General features: G+C 49.5%; 1 protein-coding gene across 18 annotated transcripts in view, besides 1 other annotated feature; it reads right to left on the bottom strand.

The window, feature by feature from the left end:
• LGR6 (leucine rich repeat containing G protein-coupled receptor 6) overlaps positions 1-23655 on the bottom strand; it is a 125963-nt gene that overhangs the window by 33119 nt on the left and 69189 nt on the right. For 12 of the 18 annotated variants that reach the window (NM_001017403.2, XM_047426928.1, XM_047426929.1 and 9 more), the window contains 2 exons: positions 10122-10337; positions 5791-5862 (listed from right to left, as the gene is read on the bottom strand). The exons of 2 other annotated variants lie outside the window; for them this stretch is intronic. In NM_001017403.2, coding sequence (NP_001017403.1) covers positions 5791-5862; positions 10122-10337 — 288 coding nt within the window. The remainder of the gene's footprint in view (positions 1-5790; positions 5863-10121; positions 10338-23655) is intronic. 4 more of the 18 variants (XM_047426931.1, XM_011509840.3, XM_011509838.3 and 1 more) reach the window with 2 other exon arrangements.
• Positions 22123-22623: an enhancer, noted in NCBI's record as "H3K4me1 hESC enhancer chr1:202233148-202233648 (GRCh37/hg19 assembly coordinates)". NCBI's record gives its function as "activates a minimal SCP1, AML or CMV promoter by ChIP-STARR-seq in naive H9 embryonic stem cells {active_cell/tissue: H9 hESC(naive)}" and the evidence as "EXISTENCE:reporter gene assay evidence [ECO:0000049][PMID:30033119]".

The raw sequence follows: 23655 nt of genomic DNA, 5'->3' as shown, positions 1-23655 counted from the left end.
AGGAAAGAGAGTTCCTTGATTCTTAGCCTCAAGAGGCAGTGTGGTCTGATGGGCTGACGCTGGGCCAAAGGCAGAGAAACCCAAATTAAAATCCTGGCTCTTAATTAGCTGGGTGTCCTTGGGCAAGTCATCCACCTTCTGTCTCAGTTTCCCCATCTGTAACATGAGGATACACAATTCCTGCCTTGTCTTTCTCAACAAGTGATTGGGGGATAAATAAGATATGAGACAAGACAGCCTTTCAGAAAAAAAATATTTCTAATTCTCTTAACTGCAGGGAATTATTTGCCCAGTGACTAGTGGGATGATCAGCACTTACCTTGAGATATGAAGGCAAATTTGCGAGATTCATCTGGACCCCTGCCCCAACCTATCAGCCTATCCCCAGAGGGCTCTGTCATGGAGCCCGCCAGGATAGCTGTAGAGTGGGTTGAATTATATGTAGCCCCCAAAAGATATGTCCAAACCTGGTACCTGTGAATGTGAGCTTATTTGGAAAGAGGGCCTCTGCAGAAGGAATTAAAAATCTCAAGATGAGATCATCCTTGGTTAACAGGGTGGGCCCCAAATCCAATGGCAAATGTTCTTACAAGAAGAGGAGACACACAGAGGAGAGACACAGAAGAAAACAAAAAAGGCAACGTGAAGATAGAGTAAGAGATTGGAGTGATGGGTCTACAAGTCAAGGATTGCCACCAGACACCAGAAGTGAGGTGAGAGGCATGGAATAGATTCCGCCTCAAACCCTCCAGAAGGCACCATCCCTGCTAACACCTTGATTTTGGACTTCTGACCTCTAGAACTGTGAGAGAATAAGTTGCTGTTTTTTTAAGCCACTAAATTTGTGATAATTTGTTATGGCAGCCACAGGAAATTAACACAGTAGTCATGCCTTGACTGCCTGGAAATTCCCATCCATCCTACAGAGGAGATGAGACACAGCATGGACCACTGTGAAATGACACTTCTGGGTAACATCCTCCCGGCCACCTTAGGACACATTCCATCCAACATTAAATGGGAGGACAGGAAAGGAAGCCGACATAAATCAAGCACCTATAATGTTCCAGGCATCACGTGAAGTCATCTCATTTAATGCGATCCTTGCCAACAATCTTCTCAATTGAAAACTATTATCCCCATTTTCTATCTGTGGAAATCGAGGCTCTTGAGAAGTCAGGTGACTTGCACCTGTCACATGCTGGTGGCAAAGCCAGGATTTGAATCTAAGTCTGCTAAGTCAAGATGAATCCTCATTCTACCCTGGGAAGAACCCTGAGCCCTGGGAGGACCTCGATGGAAGTCCACCTGGTTTCCTGTCCCTGGCCAAAGGCTGACATCAGGGCCAGGAGTAAGGGGTGGCCAGATACTCTCAGAACCAAGTCAGAGCCAGTTTCCTGTTGGCATTAATGGTTTCAAAGACACACACAGAGAGGAACATTTTCTAGCTACAGTTGCTGTTGAAGTAAAAATGTTCTGTGGAAACAGATCACCAGAGCATCCATCACCAGAGGAGATTTGATGTGGAAGGTACAATTTTGTATTATAAGGCAGAATTCAATACATTTCTTCTTTGCCCTCTTCCTGTCCCAGGCCCCTGTTGAATGCTGGTCCTGATTTAGAGAGAGAGCTGGGGCCAGAAGATTTCTGTTCTCACTATGGCCCCAGGCTCTCCTCCAAAGGGAAGTGTCCAGCCAGCACAGGGCTCCAGTTGGGCCTGATTTGTTTAGTGAGGTTATAACAAGGCCCAAGGAGCATCACCCAGGCCCAAGAGAGGTGAGACACTATTGTCCCCGGGGTCCATCCTGGGCCCTGTCCCCTCCTGGGTTCTAGCTGAGATTCAGCCATCAAGTTCCCAGATCTAGAGCATGAGGGTGGGCCCTTTAGGATGCAATTGTGTTTGCTCGACCTTTTTTTTTCTTGCGAAGATTTTCAAAGATCATTAGCTGTCAGGCTAGACTAGCTCGTCATGGCCTCCAGGCACACATTTCCAAACACTGACCTAGGGTTTCAGGTCCTGAGACCTCCTGGGAAAACCTTCCTAGAAATGTTCTTCACCATGCTCTCTTATCTCTCAGCCTAGATACCTGGGAAGTCCTATGATTGATCTGACCTTGACGGAGCTAGTGCTAAGTGAAGCAACGTATTACAAAGCAAGAGGTATGGTTTCTAGTGGTTTACCGTCACTTGCAAATTACAGTGACATGGGCAACTCACCCCCAAATACCTACATTTGGTCTGATCTGGTTAAGTGGAAATACTACTTCACAGTCTGGGGACTAGACCACCTCTGATTCTCAATTTCCCAGCAAGTTCGGGTCATCCTCATTGTGGAAGTAGAAAGGAGTTGTGGATGCAGGATGGAGCATGACCTGTCTGCTTCTGGCTGAGGTTTCTTGGCAAAGTCTGGAATGATGATGACTACATCAGGAGAAATGTCCTGGGAGCTTCCTTCCTACGAGGTCAGACTTTCCCAGAGGGCAACAAGGTTTCTGTAGGAAGGGGGTGGGGCGGGTGGAGTTGGCACGATTTGTTCTGCTAAACAAGAGAGGTCTTAACAGTGCCCATCCCCTGAACCCTGCCCAAATGACTTGGATTTGCTGGCTCTTTTGGAGTAAAAGAGAGCATGGTGTATGTCTCTCACACTTTCTCCCCATCTCTGAGGTAGCCCATTGTGCAGATGAAGGAAGTGAGGCTCACAGAGGTGAAGTTACTTCCTCTGGCTGACCCAGCTTGCAGGGGCAAAGCCAGGGTTGGAAGCCAAACAGCCTGGTCTCCAGAGCTGAGGGCATAACAGAGGGTGTGTTGCTGCAGGTGCATTTGTGATGGGCATTTCTGTGCTGTGCTGGGTTGTGGGGTGGGGCTGCCTACGTGGAGTGAGGGTCATGTAGGGCTTGAAACATGTGGCACGTGTGCTGCACGTGCACATGATTGGCTGTGCAGTTCCAGATGCCTGTGTGACCACGTGTGTGCATGCCCGCACCTGGCCCCTCCTCCCCAGGTGGTATGGCTGGGGGCCGCTTTCCCCACTTAGAGGAGTCTGCAGAGGAGCCAAACCACAGCTCCAGCCAAACCGCAGCTTGGGCCGCAGGGGTTTGATCTTCCCTCTGCTGCCGGAGATGAGAGAAGTCTAAGTGGCAGAGATTTATGGGGCCTGAGGGAGAAATACCCTTCCAGTGAGAAGCTCACATGAAAAGCTCCAGAGACTGCAAAGCGTGCCAATTATGCAACAATTAAAAGGTTTGACTATCATTTCTTTCTCCTTTTATTCTCCCATCTACTCCTCCCCCTGCCACATCTGGCTGCCCCTGCAGGCTCCCCAGCAAATGCTCTGGGGAACAGAGGATAAAGAACACACTTTTCCCCTTTTTAATTGGAGATCAAAAGTTGGAAGAAGAACTCACCCCTCAAGGGCAGGAAGAAGGGGGTATTGTTGAGATGGAGGCCCTCAGAGGAGGAGATGGGAAAGGAGAAAGGAGTGTAGGGCAGGCTCCTATACAGCTTGTCAGGGTTTGTAAGAATTTTACACACATCATCTCACTTAATCCACAGGCCAACCCTGTAAGATTAGTTAACTATTACTGGCATTATGTTTCAGATTAGAAAACGGAGACTCACAGAGGCAAATGATTTTACCAAGGTCACACAGCTGGTAGAAGTGGCACTGTACCCCAGGCTGTCTGATGCCAAGGGCTTTGCCACCAGGCTCCTAGCCTTGGCTTTCCCATTGGTAAAGTGGGTGCAGGCCCTGGGCTTTGTGTGATGGAATCAAGTGCTCCTGTAGATGAAAGGTACAGTGGGCGCTTAGCGGCAGGATTGCTCTGTAATTCAGCCAGCATCAGCTGAGCCAAATGCCCTGCGCGGCAATCCAGTGGCTAATTGAGAAAGAATTAGGCAGTGTGCCCCAAAAGTGAAGAAACAGCTGCTAGTTGGTTTTTTAGAGGCGCCAACACATAGTCAGTGTATGTACCCCCTCCCCACCTGATTTCCCAGCAAAGCTAACAGCGCCCACACTCCAGGGTTCATGGCATTGGACTCCCTCCTGCCCTGCTCATCCATGGCAACTCCAAACACTGCCCTAAAAGCTCTTATATCTCCTGAGGGAAGGTGGCTGTGGGCACACAGGCTTTTGCAGGGTAATGAGCACCATCTCTTACATCTAGGATTCCCCCAAACAGCTGGCACATAGCAGGCTCACACAGTTCACATTTGACCCAGACAAAAGAGGACAGCAGGCTCTCCCCCAGGGACTTTCATGTATGTTTTCTCATTAATGCACCCTAGATCTGCTCTGTCTCTAACTGAGGGAGTAACTCTGGGCAGGCCATGACACCTCCCCGGACATCAATTTTCTCAGATGTTGATTGAGTGGGCTAGACTGTCCAGAGTTAACTGCCCAGCTGTCTATGACAGCTAGAGAGGGAGGAACATGTAGCCCAAGTCACGCACAGTGGCAGGAAGAGGTTCCAATTTTCCTGCCTCCAGGCTGGGGCATGTCCCCCACACCTCAGTCCTCAGTCTTCCGGAGGGTGAGCATGCCGGCAAAGCTGGGCTGGCTCTGCCATTTCTCCCGCTTCAGGCTAAGCCCAAGAAAGCAGCCACACTTCTGGGTCTTGTGCCCACAGGAAAAAAGAGTGGAGCTTGGGTCTCAGCCTCCCTATTACTTTTCCCTGCACCACCACAAATGCCATTAGCCCAGGCCTCCTGGGATAAGTTTTCCCAAATGGTTTTCCCCAGTACATTGCTTCCCAGATCACAGCTTGACTCAGCATTTTCTCCTCTGCTGCTTCGGATTCTTGAAAACCCCTCACCTCAGGATTGATGTCCTGGGGTATATGTGGGAGGGGGTGGAGAATAAGGGGGGTTGGTTATGGAGGGCAAGGTGGAGCAAGTGGGGGGTAAGAGAAACTGTGAGCATCCCCCTGACACCATGAGCTCTACCCCAACCTCAGTGGCTCATACTTGGTGACCTGGGGGTCCTTCTCTCCCCATCGACCCTCTCCGAGGCCTGTACCAGGTGGCCATGGCAGCCAGCTCCCTCATGGATGCTGAGGGACCCCAGCTGGCAGAAACGGCCACACTTGGAGAGCCCAGCCAGTTGTTTGCTCAAGTGGGGCCCACTCAGCCCACTGTGTGGGGACTGGCAGGACTCCACAGGAAATGATGGGAGGGTTTGGGTGTATTCTGACCTTAACTGAATTCCAGGATGATGATGTGTGAATAATATGGCTTTTTGAGAGTCAACAGCTTGGGTGCTTCTTATAGTAAGGCTAGAGTGCTCAATGGGCCATCTCCCCATTAATCATTTAGCTAGTTCGATCAATTGGCAAACAGTCCCAGCATTACTCTGCAGTATTACTCTTCCTTCTGTCAGCAGCCACCCTTACACAGATGTCAAAACTGCCATCAAGTCAGCCCCAGCCCCACCCCCATGCCTTCTATTCCCCGGGCTTCATATTTTAATTCCTTGAGCTTCTTGCAGTTCCCATTTCTGTCCAGAATTTTCATTATTTTGGTGGTCTCTGCCCACAGGGAGATCCCAGGTTCCTACTCCCTGGGCCATTCTGAACTCCCAGAGGGCACATTCTGACCACCTGAAGGAGGAAGAAATTCATTCTCAGTGATATTCCAGAGAAAGTGCCAGGGAGGGGCATGTGGGTAAACAAGCCCGGGGCCAGACCCCAGCATCCCAGGACTGCTGGCTCTTCCCTCTGTGTGCTCCCTCCACTCCAAGACTCCAGGCTTTCATCACCAGGCAGGACAGAGTTTGACCAAGACCTCAAAACTCACAGTGTCTCCAGATTGTGCAGCCCCTCGAAGCTGTGGGTCCCCAGATGCTGGATGCGGTTGTTATGCAAATGCCTGCACGGGAAGGAAAGACGCATCAGAATGGGTGCCCACGGCACTGGGGCCAGGGGATGGAAGAGCACATGGTGGCATGGGGAAAGTGTAGGCAGAAGCATGGACAGAATGACCCTAATGGTCCATCCGTTTGTTTCCAGGAACAAACTGACTGGCCAAGACTGACTTCTGAAGCCACAATCTCCAAGGCTGGATTGACCACAGGCTACCCCATATTGATTTCCTATTAAAGGAAAAAGGGAGAGGAGAGCCTCAGGCCAAGGCTAAAGCAAGTTCCCCCTAAGCTCTAGAAGACAGGTCTGATGTCAGAGGGGCTCAAGTCTGAGGCTTCTTCTATGGCTGGGCTCCCCAGGACCCAGTCTGCCTGACTCAGTGGCCAGACGTACTTATGGGAGCCAACAGCAAACCACTGCAGTCAACATATAATTAAAGGCGAAGCTTTCTGTTACAACTGGAGAGAGCTACAGACACACTCAGAGAACAGGCAGATTGGTGAGGCCAGAGGAATCGAGGCAGGCTTTATAGAGGTGGTGATCCAGAGCAGGGCCTTGAAGGACAGGTGAACTGAACAAGCAGAAGGAAGGGCATTCCAGGCAAAGGGGGACCCGAAGTGATGCAGCTTGAACAACTGGACAGAGCTATCCAAGCATAAGCCGGAAAAAAACAACATTACATGGAAATTATGAAAACATACAACAGGGAAACAGAAAGCCAGAAGAAAGAGGATGCAAAAGACAGGCAAAGTTTTAAGCCTAGAAGAAAAGATGACTAATGAACCAGGAACACAAGGAAATTTATCACAGTAGCCTTCTGCTACAAAACAATCCAATAAAACAACATTTCAAAGATGAATGTTCTTAAGTGAAAGGAAAAATGACACAGTAGATTAAGGAAATAAGTTGAGGACCAACACTACATCACTTGAAAAAATGAGTCAATAAATTTAAAACAAGGGACAGTGCAGACACTGCTAAAAATTGAATTGGTGTCGGAGAGAAAACCTGAGATAATCATGGTGACTATGGTTGAATGAGACAAAAATGTTAAAACAAAAACTAAATGCTGAAGACATAAAGGTGATTTAACACAAACATAATTGATGTTTCTGGAGCAGAGAATCCAAAAATGAGACTGAAGATGTATTCAAAGACATAACACAAAAGAAATCTCTAAGATGATGAAAGAATGGAAGCTGCAGCTCAAAAGCATACATTGTTCCAGGATAATTAGATGCTGACTATTCCATACTGTGACATATCCTAGTTAAACTATTAAATTCAAGAATTTAAAAACATCTTCAGGCAGAAGAAGGAAATCACTGACAAGGGGAAGAAAATCAGGCTGGCCTCCAAGATGTTGTTCAAATATAAAGGCAATGGGCAGGCCTCACCCAACATAGATGGGTAAGGACGGGACTCCTGCGAGCCTGGGGATTTAAAGCTTCTGTCTGTCTTCCCCATCCTTACCCACCTGCTCCATGAAGTTCCGTTTCAGGAGACAGACTCCTGTCCCCAGGGAGCTTCTGATCCAAAGGGGAAAACACTGCCTTCTGGGAGTGATCTCCCCTTACTGAGGAGTTTTAATTTTTCCCATTTCCTTCACACCTATAAACCAATTGTCATCAAACTCTATCATTCCTCTTACCTGCTGTTGAACTCCTGTCTCCATTTTCCACCCCCTTCTGCCTCCCCCAGTATCTCAGGTCCAGGCCATCTCAGCTAAACATCCAGCTCCAGGCCTCCAATTCCCTCCCCTAAACCACTCATTCAACCCTGGTGTCTTGGGCACCCCAAATGGTCCAGTCTGGGAGAGGTGTTGAGGTATATAGTCCAGATAAAGAGACAAGATTACACACATGACACCACTGCTGTCCAGCTACGTGCTACCTAAGGGTCCTGTTGGTGCCAGAGCAGTGGTGAGGGAGATTCCACATGTGGCAGAGCAGCCCGATGATGAAAGCTCAGGGTTGGGGTTGAAGAGAAGCCCCTTCTCCTCCACCCTGCTTGCCTGCTCACACCTCCAGCCAGGCCCCTGTACAACCCTTGATTTTAACCAAATATCTTTTTTGCTTCCCATCATATCCAGTCTTCCTTACCTTCCTCTTGGGCCTTCCTACAGCTCATCCTGTAGTCCCTGGACAGCATTCCCCAGCCTCCTGTCCACTTCACAGGTCACCTCCTGCTAGAAGCCTCTCTCCTCCATCCCATGAGTTGGAGGCAGGTGAGGGATGAAGGGGTAATGTTTCTAACCTCTCCCCATGCAAAGGGACCAGTTTTTCTCTATCAGCTTTGCTCCCGCACCAGTAGGTTTTCTTTCCTTAGTCCCTTGTCCCTCCTTGTCCTCAGTGGGCCTTCCCCTCAATCTCTCCTAGATCTATAACAGGCCTGACTTATAGGCCAATTCCTTGGCTCCCACCCAAACCTTGGAGTCACCCATGACTCCCCTTCTTCTTGGTCTTCTACCCTCTGAAAATCTCTCAATCAGGTCAATTCTTCCTTCAAAACAGCCCTCACAGTCATGCCTTCCCTTCCATCCCTTCTGCCACCTCCTTAAACTACTGGACTTTGATACCAAGAACCTCTGAACTGACCTTCCTGTCTCCAGTCTGCCTCGGTTCCAATCCAGCCTTCAAATTAATCTTCCTAAAATACTCCCTTTTAACCCTTGCCTGAAAACCTTCAAGCTTCCCTCCCACACGAGCAGAGAGAAGCCAAGCTCTCTGTTCTGACGTTGAAAGTCCCGACATGCACCTTTCCAGCTTCTTCTCCTGAGCTCTGCATGGGGACCCTCTGCTCCAGCCACACTGGCCTGGTCACTGGCAGCCAAACACGCTTACTCTCCCCTCCATGTCTTTATTGCTATCTGCTTGGAATGTCCCCATTCTCTTCATTTCATCATCTTTCCAGGCCCAGGTCCCACCCCACCTCCCCCAGGAAGCCTCCTTCCCCTCCACCTCAGCCTTCCCACCATATCTATGCTGCTATGAGTCTGAATTTATCATCTGGCTGTGTTAGCATAAGTTTCACTACATCATTTGTTATTTTTTTCCCATATTTATTCTGCTCTTTCAATTGGACTGAAAGCCCCTCAAGGGCAGTGGCTATATCTCACAGTTTTTTGAGTTTTCAGTACACCACATGGGGGCTCAATAAATGCCTGCTCCTTCTTATCCACCTGGGGCCAACCATGAAGTTCTTATTTCTCCAGTAATCTTATCCCTCACAGAGGCCTGACCCCACCCTCTCACAATGTCACGGGGATGTCACCAAAGTTAGAACCAATCACCTTGTTCTGTTTACCCTCTCTAAATACCCCCCCACCCTGCCCCGTGACTCCCAGAAGAAGGGAGGGTATGGCACCCTGACAGAAGAATATAGTCCACAAGGATATTGACCTTGGTTCTCCAGCTTCCCAGGACAGAGAATTAGACAAACAAATTGGTGCCTGCCTTTTCATCTCTCAAATGGAACTAGGTATCATCCATTCCCTGGTTTAGAAAATCACGCCAGATCTTCAAAAGCGGGGGGCGTGGGGGCAATGTTACCATCCAGTAGAGTCACTAACATGCATGTTCCTAAGCCATGTTCCTGCAGCAATTAGTGTGTAACCCAAAGCAATTATACATGACCTCCAAGCCCTTTTAGTAATTACCCTATGAACTTACCAATCATTCATAGCAATTAGCTGGGAGCTAATTTGCCCTCTAAAGTTCCCACTGGGGAGGCAGAGTTAACCCCAGTCCCCAATTCCTGCCAGGGATGCTATCTCCCAGGTAATTACAGTGATGGGGCTTTGCTGTCTAATTATAAGTGATGACTTTTCTCTGCTTCTTAAGGCCTGGGAAATGAGATGAATTTATCCCATCCCTGTGCCAAAGCATATGACTGCATCATCTAATTGTCAAATATGGTAGAAATTACTTAAGAAATTCTTGATTTATATTCCAGTTATCAAGGTATAGTTATTATATGTGCATGGCAAGAAAATAATGGCTTAATTCCTATTTTCTGATTATAGTACCCTGGCCCTTTAGTGACTCTCAGAGCACTTTTCAAGCTCTCATGTCATTTGACCTCATGATAACCCTATGGGATCAACAGGGAATGGTCATCCTCATGCTTTTCCAAAGGGAGGCCAGAAGGTTTAGCAACATGCAAAGAAGAGCAAAGCTAGCCAGGCTCCAATCCAACTCAAGTAAACATGCAGCCCCCAGCCCCCAGCAGGACCCCACTGGGGATGGGGAACAGAGCAGCACTCACAGCACCACAAGGCTGGTGAGATTCTGGAACGCGTAGTCGGGGATGTGGCTGATGCGGTTGAGGGCCAGGGTCATGGCCTGCAGGGCAGGGAGGTTGTTGAGGGCCCTGACAGGGATCTCCGTGAGTGCATTGTCGTCCAGCCAGAGGTGGCGGAGGGAGGACAGCCCCTCAAAGCTCCTCTCCGGGACCAGGGAGATGAGGTTGGCATCTAGGCGCCTGGTGGAAGAGAGGATGGAGAGGGGTCAATCCAGGGCAAGATGCAGACCAAGCTTTGGGGCTAGACTGGGCCAGCCAGGCCCTCAACAGGGCCTTTGAGGCTCCCTGGGACTAAAGTTGTGACTTGGCCACCATGTATCCTGTATCCCGCCTCTTCGAGTTCCCATATTTGGCTCCATTCCAACCCATAGTTCTTTTTTTGTTGTTGTTGGGAGACAGAGTCTCGCTCTGTTGCCCAGGCTGAAGTGCAGTGGCACAATCTTGGCTCACTGCAACCTCCACCTCCCACCAACCCACAGTTCTTGATCCTTCTTGATCCTCTACACCATATGTTTCTATGAATGACCCCACCTCTTCCTCTCAGACCCAAGGCTGAACCCATAGCCTGTTTGTGGATAGCCAGTATTTCCCTTCACATCCATACTCCCGGGCTTCCAAATCTATGCCATATTACCCTTGCTCTCTGAGTGTGACCTCGACCTTGCTAACTGTTCTATGATAGTCCAAGACCATATAATGGAGATGTTCTCAGCATTGGCAGAGGGAAATGTCCTCCCTCTGAACCGAACCAAAGAAAAATGCCTCCCCAAAAGGGTAAGCCCTTCCCTGTCACCCATCCCTAGCACCACCTGTTCCTTGTCCCTTCAAGGGCCCAGGGGGCAAGGGGCTCCTGCTAAAGTCCTGGGGCTTCTTGCTCAGTTGATGACCTCTAGGAGGCCCCTGCATGCCACAGTTGAAGTTCTTGATTAGCTGCCTCTCAGAACAGGTGAACAGATGGTGGGTGATCCTGCTTGTGCATAACCAGAGATTCTAGGGTGATATGAGGATTACTTATGGGAGCCCTAGAAGATCTTAGCAGCCCAGCAAAACAAGGAGATTTTTCAACCTTAGCTTTTTACACATGTGCCCAGGCCACGACAGCCTTTATCAACATGCTACTGTCTCTGAGCCCCAGGTTGGGACTTGGGCTGAACCCCTATTGCCCTAAGCAGATGGTCTCACAGGGACCAGACAAACTGACCTGTACCATGGATCTATTGCTGGACTTTCCTATCTTGAAGCGAGGCTTAGCCCTGAGCCATGGTCCTCCCACATAGCCATATGGCATTTAAGCCATGGAAACCCCAGCCTTACCCACAAAGGCCCTACAGCTCCATAATCCTGAACCCAAAGGAGAAGTGATATGATCAGTAGGGTGGGATGGGGTGATATTCTTTCATCCCAACAGCACAAGCCCCCTTGTAGAAGGTCCAGCAGTGCTTCTGTCTTTTCCCTGAGCATCTCATCAGTGCTCTCTCTGTGAAGACCTCAAGCACCACTGGGAAACACTCCCTAGTTCACCAGCAAGGGGGCCATGGGTGGATAGGCCAACACTGAAGTCTTGGGTGTGAAAGCACATTCACCAGGACACTCTTCAAAAGCTGTAGTTAGGAAAGACTTCCCACCCACATCAAACTTGACATGATGGGACCAAAAGCCCTTCAGTGAGTGCCCTCTGCTGGCAAGGCTTGTCACCTTGGACATGGTTCTCCAGTGGTGGCCGTCACACCCTTGATGGTCTGTGGCTGAACCACCCTGGGGAGCTTTGTGTTAATGTGGACTCCCATGGACCATCAGCCCCAGCATCACCTGGAAGCTTGTTAGAAATGCAGAATCTTAGGCCCCACCCCAGACTTACTAAATCAGAACCTGGATTTTAACCTGACTCCCAGGTGATTCATTGATTCATCAGCACGTTAATGTTTTTAAAGCACTGAGCTAGGTTTTCCAGATCTGATGCTCCAATCTAACAACCTTGGATTGCTGGAGAAGAGAGGAAGACTGAATGAGGATGTAGAAAGCCATTTCCTGCTGTGGTTAGTGCTCAGCTGGTCCTGGGAGCCCTCGTTCTTAGATTTGATCATAAATTACTCCAAGAGATGAGGGCTCTACCTCAACCTCCTGCATATATGACCAGAGCAGGCACTACATTCAGCTGTGAACTCGCAGCACCCAGCGCAATGCCTAGTTTGCAGATGGCACTCAATGTTTTTAAATAAATGGGCAATAAATAAATGAGTGAATACATGCCCTCTGAATCCTCTGCTTCCAAGCCTCAAACTGATGGCCTGACCAAGCACACCAGTAAGCTAGAGGAGACCTGGACAGCCCCCCTTACCAGGGATGGTCGAGGATCCTGGCTGTCCTGCTTTGACACCCCATTCTATTGTGGTGAGGGCTCTCACCTCCCGCTTTCCCCCGTCTGCAGATGCCCACCCAGCAGATGCCCAGACTCTCCTCCTAACCCTGGAAAGGCCCTTTCCATGGGAGCAGCATCTTAGTCCCAGATTTTCCAGAGACCACAGACAGATACCTAAGCCCTGAGTCCTGCTTAGGACCACACGGAAGAAGTCACATTTGAGATGGCCTTCTTAAGGTAGGATAGGATTTCAACAAGGAGAGATGGAAAGGGGTGTCATGAATGAGGGCCTTGAGGGAAGAGAATGCAGGTCCAGTGTGGATGGGGGAAGGGAACAGAGATTTTGGATATCCTTAAGAGGTCAAATTGATGACCGGGCACGGTAGCTCACGCCTGTAATCCCAGCATTTTGGGAGGCTGAGGTGGGCGGATCACCTGATGTCGGAGTTCGAGACCAGCCTGACCAACATAGCGAAACCCCGTCTCTACTAAAAATACAAAATTAGCCGGGCATGGTTGCACACGCCTGTAATCCCAGCTACTCGGGAGGCTGAGGCAGGAGAGTTGCTTGAACCTGGGAGGCGGAGGGTGTGGTGAGCCGAGATCACACCATTGCACTCCAGCCTGGGCGACAAGAGCGAAACTCCATCTCAAAAAAAAAAAAACAAAAAAAAACAGGTCACATTGATAAGGCCCAGCAACCCACTGGATGTGGGGCCAGGGAGGGGCCTGACACATCTCGCAGATCTGGGCCTTGCTCTCTGCTACTGCCTTCCTAATGGGTAAATTAACAGACCCAGGAAGCCTGACTCCCTAAGAGGGGCAGTACCTCCTTCTCTGAAGCTCAGGGCAGAGAACATCCCTACAGTGACAACCATGACACCAATAATAATCACTGTCTCCATTTATTGAGTCCTTGTCATATGCCAGGTATACAATACCAGGTACCGTGTCCTGTATCTTCTCAAAAATGCCATTGAGGTAGCTCTGATTAGCCCCATTTTACAGAGAGATTAAGCCCCCCAAGGCCCCACAACTAGTAAGCTGCAGGGCTTAAATCTGAACCCAAGTTGTCTAACGTCAAAATTCATGTGCCTCACCATTGTGTTGTGTTGGCACTGAGGTGCATGATGGGAGGTTAAGAACCTGCTCACCTGTTCACCTAGGTGTCCTGCCCAGGTGGGACACCAGGGCAGAGATTGTGGCTGAGCTGAGAAGATGGCCATGTACCATAAGGAGGTGCTAGGAGGCAGGCAGGAAGTGGGTCAGGGCAGGGCAAGGGGAAAACTTATTCTGTGAGCTCAGGGGGCACTTGGAAGTGGCCTTTGCTATGTATGTGCGTATGTGTGAGTACACACGTTTGCTGGCCACATGCATGTGCACGCTCACACATGTAACCTACAGTCCTGGTTAGTCCATCTCCTGCATTTTGTGTAACCCATAGGCAGGAGAGCTTGGGAAGGGCCCTTTTGCCAGGCTGGGCCGAGCATGGCACTGGCTTAAAACAGGGCCTTACTTTCTCAGCCTCTTAGGGAAGGGCTGGATGGGCTGAGCCTCCAGGCCTCTTTCCGCTCTGTCAGAGAGAAACTATCTTCTGTCCTGGCTCATGATATCCTAAGTGGCATGGTAGAGCAGCTGAGGGCTGGAGAGGGGAGGTGTTTGCTGCCCTGCTCCTGGTACTTGGGAACTGGGACACACCAAAGGAGAAAAGGAAGAAAACTGGCAAATGAAGAAGGTGGAATGAGCACATGGAAGAAATCGGCCAGGACTGTGTTTGTGTTTGGGATGAGCAGAGAGACGGGGCGTTTACACTCAGGCCAGGTGGGCTTGGGGGTGGGGCATGGACCCAGGGTAGCACTGCCAGATATAGCAAATAAAACAACATGCTACCCATTTAAATTTGAATTTCAGATAAATAATAATTTTAGCATAAATATGTCCTGTGTAATATTTGGGACAATGCCCAGTTAAATCTGAATTTCAGATAAGCAAGTATAAGTTTGAATAAGTCCCATGCAACATTTGTATTTTATCTGGCAGCTCTGACCCAGGGGGCTCCTGTGATGTGGAAGGTGTGGGCTTTGCCATCACACAGATGTAGCCACAAATACCCTCCTTTAACCTTTTGTGTTGCTTTCCTCAGCTGTATGGTTTGATGACTTGCCCACCCCAGAGACAGTGAGGACAAACACCCCCTTAGAGGGAGACTCCACGAAGCACAGAGGGGAGTGGAGGAGGCAGCAGGAGACAGGCGCAGTATTGGCTTCTATTAAACTTTCTCCTCTCTCCCCTCTCTCTTTTTTTTTTTTTTTTTTTTTGAGACAGAGTTTCACTCTTATTGCCCAGGCTGGAGTGCCATGGTGCAATCCCAGCTCACTGAAACCTCTGCCTCCCGGGTTCAAGCGATTCTTCTCCCTCAGCCTCTGGAGTAGCTGGGATTGCAGGCACCTGCCACCAAGCCCGGCTAATTTTTTTGTATTTTCGTAGAGACAGGGTTTCACCATGTTGGCCAGGCTGGTCTCGAACTCCTGACCTCAGGTGATCCACCCGCCTCAGCCTCCCAAAGTGCTGGGATTACAGGTGTGAGCCACCGCGCCCAGCCTCCCCTGTATTTTCTGGTTGGACACCTGCTCCCTGCCCCCAGGAACCTCTGACTCTTGGGAACACCTAAGGGTCGACACCTGGCTATAGAGCAACCCCTCTTACTATCTCCCCACCCAGCTCCCGGTAGGATAAGGTGCTCTCTGGAGAATTCCCCCACCCTTTCAAGTCAGGGTTCAGGCTCCCCTGGGATCTCTAGTCCTCTAGGGTAGGGGGGTCCTAGGCTCCCCTGCCATCTGGCAGCCAGGAAAGGGGTATTGGATTGCTGAAGGAGTCTCCGAGCCGCCAGCAGAATCCTCCACTTGGGACTAAAAGACCTTTTTAAGCAGCTCCCCGTAGAGGGTGGGAGAGCCAATCCTGATGGACTCTGGCTTGGCAGGCTGAAGAGAGCAATTATACCAATTAAGCTCTGGAACAGAATCAACAACCCCCAGCAGCGCCTCTCGTTCTCCCACGTGGACCTGGCCCCTCAAGTGATTTCTGATTATAATTCTTACCTGCAGTAATGGGGCAGATTAGCAGGGACCTCACAGGCCAGTTCGGGCTTGCTTAGGCTCTGGGGAAACAGCTTAACCTGTCGAGGGCCAAACTGCTTCTCATACTCCCCCAGCTAAGGGCTGAGGCTGAAGCAGGGAGGGAAGGAAGGGGACCCTTCCCTCCAAGTCCCAAGGGGCATGTGGTGTGAAAGTCGCCAGGTCATAGGACATCCCAGGGAGATGGGGACATAGGGTCCTGGTCTGAATTGACTGAAATGAGATGAGGACCTAACAGGGAGCAAGCGTAGCAGAAGAGCTTTAGGTTAGACAGCAAGAAGTGACCCACTGACAGCGACCCAGGACAATAGCGTACACTAAGAATCACACTGTGTCAGAGCCTGAAGGAGCCTTCCAGCCTCACTCGTCTCATATGAGGAGCCTGAAGCCCACAGAGATAAAGAGAAATGCCCAAAGGCAGTGGTAGGGCTGGGACTCAAACTCAGAGCTTCGCAGGGTGTGGTGGCTCACGCCTGTAATCCCAGCACTTTGGGAGGCTGAGGTGGGCAGATCACCTGAGTTCGGGAGTTCAAGACCATCCTGACCAACATGGGGAAACCCCATCTCTACTAAAAATACAAAATTAGACGGGCGTGGTGGCACACGCCTATAATCCCAGCTACTTGGGAGGCTGCGGTAGGAGAATCACTTGAACCCTGGTTGCGGAGGTTGCAGTGAGCCGAGATCGCGCCATTGCACTCCAGCCTGGGCAACGAGAGCAAAACTCTGTCTCAAAAAAAAAAAACAAAAGCAAAAACAAAAACAAAACAAAACAACTCAGAGCTTCTTTTCACTCTACCAGTCTAGTTCCCCAAAAGCGAAGGAATGACAGAGAGACTCACAGTTCTTTGTGTAAGATATGGATATGCAAGAAGCATATCTCTATTTGGAAACCAGGGGCCCTTACAGCCCACAGAGGACTAAATCAATCTAGTGGACCCTTTCTGGGATTTATTTCTCTAATCCATCTTATATCCTACCAGATCTTAGTCAAATACAAGATAAAGGGGACAGATTCAGGGGTCTGAGTGGGCCTCTAGCTGACCCATGGATGTCATCAAATATTCATTTAAAAGCAATCACTCGTGCAAAGCTCCATGCTCAGGGCTTTGCCATAGTACCCGCTCCCTGAGTGCAGGCTGACTTTAAATTCAAAGGTCAGTGTGCCCTAAGGGAGGCGAGGAAAGCAAGGGAAAGAGGGCAGGTGTCCTCCTCTTCTGTTCCATTCAGGTCAGCCACGACTTGGGTCCCCTCCCTAGCTCTGAGCCACATTACATGAGAAGACATGGCAATGGTAGGACAGAGGGCTTTAGGAGCAGAGAGAGACTGAAACCCAGAATTCATGAGGAAAGGTGGGCCTGAATGAAGTAGGCTCCACAGGGCTGGGGCACATCCAGAGAGGAATTCCACTTCTCATCCAAGAAGAGGAAGATGATGCCTCCAGAGTCTCTTCCATGACATGGTCTCATCCTAAGAAAGTATCTCCAGCCAGTCCTAGTACCTGAAGTATCCCTTTCCCTCCCCAGCCTATCAGGGTTTTGCAGAGTAGGAAAGGAGGGCAAAGGTTCTGTTTCAGATGCTGAAAGCTCAGAGAAGGGGAGCCCCTAGCCAGCTTTCTTCCAGTGACTTACAAACTCAGGTTGCTGAATTTAGTGGGCTTCTCTGCCCAAACTCCCACACCAGCCTGGTTGCCTCCCTCTCTCCTTGAAGCTGCCCATCACTAAGACCCTCCTGAATAGGAGTGGCTACATAATGGGGATGAAAAGCCTGTGTTTACCAAGAATCTCAGCTGGGCACAGTGGCTCATGTCTATAATCCCAGCACTTTGGGAGGCTCAGGCGGGAGGATTGCTTGAGCTCAGGAGTTTGAGACCAGCCTGGACAAAATAGCAAGACACCCTCTCTAGAAAAAAATTTAAAAGTTAGCCAGGCATGGTGGCACGCTCCAGTAGTCCCAGCTACTCAGGAGGCTGCGGCAGGAGGATCTTTTGATCCCAGAAGTCGAGGCTGCAGTGAGCTGTGTTCACACCACTTCACTCCAGCCTGGGCAACAAAGTGAGACCCTATTTCCAAAACAAACAAACAAAAAACTTCAAGATGGCAATAGAACACTAAACCAGGTACAGGCCCCTTCTGCTATCAGGGCCCTGGCAACCACACAGGTCGCAGGCCCATGAGGTCGGCTCTGCTCCCAAACTAAAAAATCCTCAAAAGCTGTGGGCTAGGCCTGCTCCTGTTCTCATTTCCTAACTCTGCGTTTGAGAGGAAGAAAGAGGCTGGGAGGTGAGATACCTTGAGGACAAAGACAGTTCATTTGACACAGGATTACTGATTGTTTGCTCCTGGCCGACCCCAGGGCTGGTTTTCATCTCTGAACCCCCCACCCCTACTTGGCTACATAGCTGACTTTCAGTTGAACACAGGAAGGGAGAGAATAGAGAAAAGATGTGGGTGGGGAGGGGGACATCTCAGTCTCTGGTTGGAGTACAGAATGGAGGGTGGAAGGGGGAGGATATTAAAAGTTAAAAAAAAAAAAAGCAGCCACTATGGAAATGGTTATTCTGTGGGGAAAATATTCCACGTGGGAGCCGTTGATTGCCTGGAGGGACCAACGGCCCTGACCGAGAGCCTGCCTGGGAAGGCAAGGATTCCAGCAGGGAGCAGGCTGGCACCTGCCGAGCAGTGAGGAGATGCCCTTGGGCCTTCCATAGGCGGCAGGGCCCAGCCTCCCACACCAGCACCAGCCGCCAGTGCCAGGTGCCAGCTTCTGCACGGAGGGCCACGGGGCTCCAATGGGGTTGTGGGGTCCCCTGCCCATGGCATGTCCTGGCCCTGCTTGGCAGGAGGGCTTGCTCGACTGGGGAACACACAGAATCTGTACCCACAGACTCCACCAACTCAGGCACGGATGCTCATGAGCTTCTGCCTTCCCGCGGACTGACACCCCTCCCAGCCTCTCTCCTGGAGAACACAGCCTGCATTCTGTGAAGGCCCTTTATGGTCTCATGAAGGCTTCCATAAAGCCCTACTGCCCCCACATCCCTCCCTCACTACCTATCAGACTGCCTGAAATGCCTCTCATTACAGATGGTATCATTCCCTTTGTCTTCAATTCAATAGGATTGGATTAAATATAATAAACATTCATTGAGTGCCTACTATTATGCCAGCCTTGTGCTTAGTTCTAGGGTTCAAACTTGAATAACACATAGTCTCTTTCCAGAGAAGCTCTTAGACTATATACTTTGCTGTTTGATAAAACAATATAAAAACCTTAGCTTTTATATTGAGAAGGAGCTAATTGCCAGGTGTGCTCAGCATTTACATATATTATCATATTTAATCTTCATGCTAGCCCTGTGGAGTAGGAACCTTATGCTTCCCATCTTGCATGCAGAAAAGGAGGCTCAGAGGAATGAAGCCATTGGTCTGACTCCAAAGCTACCACTCAATTCAGGCTTATTGATAAGGCTTCTCCTTATCAAGATTTGAACATCAGAGCTTGTCCTGAAAGGCCTGTCCCATTTAATGAAAAGAAACCTTCTCAGTTAAAGAGTACACTCCTAGCCGAGGCCCTTAGGGGGCTGAAAACTGGGGCTGTAGCCAAAGGGACTAAACAGTGTGTCTGCACTAGAAGTAGTCACCAAGCCCAGAATCCATATGACTGGACTCCAGACCCAGTTACAGGGAGCTCCCCTTCAAGCAGGTGCCAGGCATTGACCTACATATAATCTGGGAAGCTAAGGACTCCCCAGATCCATCATCCCTCCATCTTGGGTGTTGTATGCCTCTGGTATCCTCTAAGACAACACTGTTCAATAGAGCTTTCTGCAGAGACATATTCATTATCCGCCCTGTGGCTATTGAGCTCTTGAAGTGTGGCCAGCATGACTGAGGAACCGCATTTTAAATTTTATTTTAACTGACACATGCCATACTGGATGGCACAGTTCTAAGAAATTAGCCAGGCGTTCCACACAAGACATGAAGGATACAGAGATGAATGAATTTGGTTCCTGCCCTCAAGGAACTCATAGTCTAGCAACGAAGATTAACAAATAATCAATTGTGATTGTGTGTGTGTGTGTGCGCGCGTTAGAGAGAGAGGAAAAGAGAGGCTGTGTCTGAAAATGGTGTGCACCAAGAGTTGAGGGAATGAATTAAAGGGTGTGGAACCTTCAGCCACGGAGGTAGGACAAACTTCCTAGAAGGAGTAAAGAGGGGACATTCATGTGAGTCTTGAGGAATAACTGAATTTTCACCAAGTGGATGAGGGTAATGAGCATTTCTGGCAAAGAAGGGTGTGTGCAGAGGTACTGACCAAAGAACAACATGGGAGAGGAGAACAACTCATCTGTGCTGAGCAGAGGGTCCTGGGTGACGCAGGGAGTGAGGGCTTGGGTCAGATGCGAAAGGTAGTAGGGAAAAGAACGTGCGGGTCCTTGGGGGCTTTATGGATCTGAACTTTAAATTGTAGGCATTGGGAAGTCTGGGTTGAGAAAGACCACTCTGGTGGGGTGGGGGTGGGGATGTGAAGGCTGGCAAAGGTCTTGTTCTTGCTGATACACAGGGCGCTATGACTTCAGACGAGTCCCTTTCCTCTCTCCAGGATCAGTGTCTTCACCTGCTCAAGGAGGGGTTCGCTTCAAGAGTCCCTGTGGCTCTGTCCGTCCGAGAGCCTATACATTCTTTGGACAAATTCTTCTGTGCTATGTCCCTGTGTCCCCAGGCAGGGCAACTTACAAGCACATGGTGTTGTGCAGAGGCACAGAGTAGCCAACCCCCACTCCCCCACCTCCAGGCATCTCAAGATGACCAAATTCTACCATTTGGATAATATTCTTTTTTTAGAGTGTAGAAGCTGCCTGTTATTTTTTTTTTTTTTTTAATCTGGAAAGTATTATTAGGTAGCCTTTTAGTGGAGAACAGCTTTTTGAGAGAAGCTTCTAAAAATGAGACACAGACTTGGAACACAGGGAGCTTTGGACCAGAGAGATGAGGAGCTGGGAAAGATGGTCGATAGAGGTGGGAGATAGTAAAAGGCCAACTTCAGAGCTTTGAACAACTTTACCCAAGTGCCCACTTTGGTCACTTTTCTCCCCCATTACATGGGAAGACCCCTGAAGACGCGGGCTATGTCCCCTCTTTCCCTGAAACTTGCCCACCATGGATATTCAGTCTGTGTTTTTTATTGATCCAGTTATGGGCACTTTCAGCATTGTTCAGATGATTGCTTGATGGGGAGATCACAGCAGTGGAAGTGACAGCTAACAGGGACCCCACTTAACCAGGGAGGAAAGGGGACTCTGAGGGACTGAGTGATTTGTCCAAGGTCACAGAGTAAAGAGATGGCAAAGCCAGAGAAGGCATTGGTTTTGAGTCCGGTGTTCTTTGAGTTCACTGTTCACCTCTCTCCTGCCCTTGTCCTCTTGGGAGAAGAAGAAGGTGTTCACCGATTCCTGCCCACCCCCACATACAGTGCAATGGGGGGCCCCCAGAGACACTTCCCAGGTCACTGGTTGAGGAACTATGAAGACCCTGGTCTCTGAGAACCATTCCTTGGCAGCATCCAACACTTGGGGCTCATCCCTTGCATCCCAGCAGTGCCTCTCCCCATCTGGAACCCATCACCAGGCCCTCACAGAGCACACAAGCCCTGAAGAGCCCAAAAGTGACAACTCTGGGGAGTCGGAGCCTGAGTACTCCTGGTGGGACAGTCCCATGGTGACAGAGAGCATGGGGAGCAGAGGAGGTCAACTGAGCCACCAGAAGCTGGAGTGAGAACTCCACTTCCCTGCAGAGGTGGGGTGGGGGTGATGGTGCATGGAGCCTTGAATTAACCTTTCCATACCCACTTACAATTGAGGAGAGAGGGGAGGTGGGAGCTAGAGCAGCACTTTTCTCTCTCTCCTCACCCAGGGGAAAAGCTTGTTGGAGGAAAGTGATTTCATCAGCTTTGATTTATGCCATCTAATAAGATCCTTCCCCTCACTGTCAGCCTCTCAATAGATCAAAGGTGGGATATTAAAACGAAGGCAATTCCAACTGGTTCTCCTGGCTATGCTAATGCCTCAACTCTCCTTTCCTTCCATCTGTCAGGAGCATTGATGGGTGTGCAAGAACCCCTGGGGTGGTGGCGGGGGCGGGCAGAGAAAGTGCTTCCTTTGTATACATCAAAGGATGATACCTGAGCATTCCTCCAAGCTATTCCTTGTATTTTATTCAGCAGCAATATATAAAAATAATTACCCACCCTCCAGGAGGGAGACAGGGAAGTGCCTCTGTGTGTAGCCTTTAGGAGCTTCCCCCAAAGACACAGACCTACAGATCTGGGCAGAAGGCCACCTTTGTGGGTGACAATCCCGGAATCCTGGGGTGGGAACTACAAAAAGCCATCTCATCCATCCCCCAGCCTCCAGCCATTGAATTGCAGACATCAGGCTGGTTTCTGGCGACCTTCGTGGGCTGTCTGAGATGTGCTTGGGAGCCGGGTCCTGTGGTTGCTTGAGGCCTGGCTGCCTGCCCTGGCAAAGGGTGGCTGTGGTTGGTAGAGGAAGAGGCCGATGGAGATCTTCCCGACTTGCTTCTCCAGAAAGGGGGCAGTGATGTCAGAGGCTTAGGGAATAGAAGTGATATCCCAGAGTTTTAAAGATACTTAAAAGCTGTCCTAGCAGACTTTGTAGTAATAGGCACCAGGGAAAATTCAGGCACATATTAACACTTCTAAAAGTACCATAGGAGAAGGGAGAGAAGAAATGGGAAAAGTCCATATCAACCATGGCTTCCCACAGGGTTCCAGTCCTTCCCACAATCTATTTTCTCCCTCATTCCCAAGAGCTCCCAGGCTCTCTGTGACCAGTATGAGAACTGGAGAGGTTATACCTGTATAGTTTCAACCCTCCCCTCCCCAGCCTCCCTATTTCCTGGCCCCACATCCCTCCATCCATCAATTTCTCCATTCATCCATCCGTCCATCCACTCACACAGACTACACAATCATCCCCACGGTTGGAATCTTGTTTTTCTCTTGCTCAGAATTATCTATGGCTTCTAGTCAACCCCAAACTCTTTGGCTTGGGCTTCAAGATCCCTTCCCTGAAATGACTGTCTTACCAGCATAATTTCTCAGAAGATCTCCCCCAGTTCTCTATTTCATATGCAAATGTGCCTCTTGCCTTACCTCTTTGTCCCACAGTACATAGTTTATTCATCTTTGGATCTTTGTATAGGTTGATGCCCCTCTTTGAAAGATGTTTCTCCATCCTCTCTTCAAAGCTCTGCTTAAAACTCCTCTTTCTAGAGCCTTCTGACCTAACCTCACATGGTGCTGTTCCCTCCTATACTCAGCATCTTCCAAGTCCTTACTGATTGGTCCACAAGTACCCACCACACCCACACCCCCGTGCTGAAGCCATAATCCCTCTCCTCTAGCCTAGGGAGGAAATGAAGGAACAAATCAAACACACTCAAGTTGTTTCCAGTTAAAATGGAGGAAAACTTAGCTACCTTCTCACTAAAACACCTATGAAGATATATAGAGAAAAAACAAACAAACAAAAAGATGTATGCTGGCCGGGCGCGGTGGCTCATGTGGGTAATCCCAGCATTTTGGGAGGCTGAGGCAGGAGGATCACCTGAGGTCAGGAGTTCGAGACCAGCCTGGCCAACATGGTGAAACCCCCGTCTCTACTAAAAATACAAAATTTAGCTGGGCATTGGGGTATGAGCCTGTAGTCCCAGCTACTCAGCAGGCTGAGGCAGGAGAATTGCTTGAACCCGGGAGGCGGAGGTTGCAGTGCGCCAAGATCGTACAACTGCACTCCAGCCTGGGCAACAGAGTGAGACCCTGTCTCAGAAAAGAAAAAAAGATGATCATAACTCTGAAAATAATTTATTGAGGGTGTAGTAGAAGTTATTTGACACCCTCAGTAAGGTACAAGAAATCATGACCTCTCTGAAACAGGAACAAAAATCCATGAAAAGAAAAAAAGCTAAGACAGAAGAAC

This window comes from Homo sapiens, chromosome 1 (genome assembly GCF_000001405.40).
Source record: "Homo sapiens chromosome 1, GRCh38.p14 Primary Assembly".
Classification (NCBI taxonomy): domain Eukaryota; kingdom Metazoa; phylum Chordata; class Mammalia; order Primates; family Hominidae; genus Homo; species Homo sapiens.
This window is presented reverse-complemented; position numbering and strand designations above follow the sequence as displayed.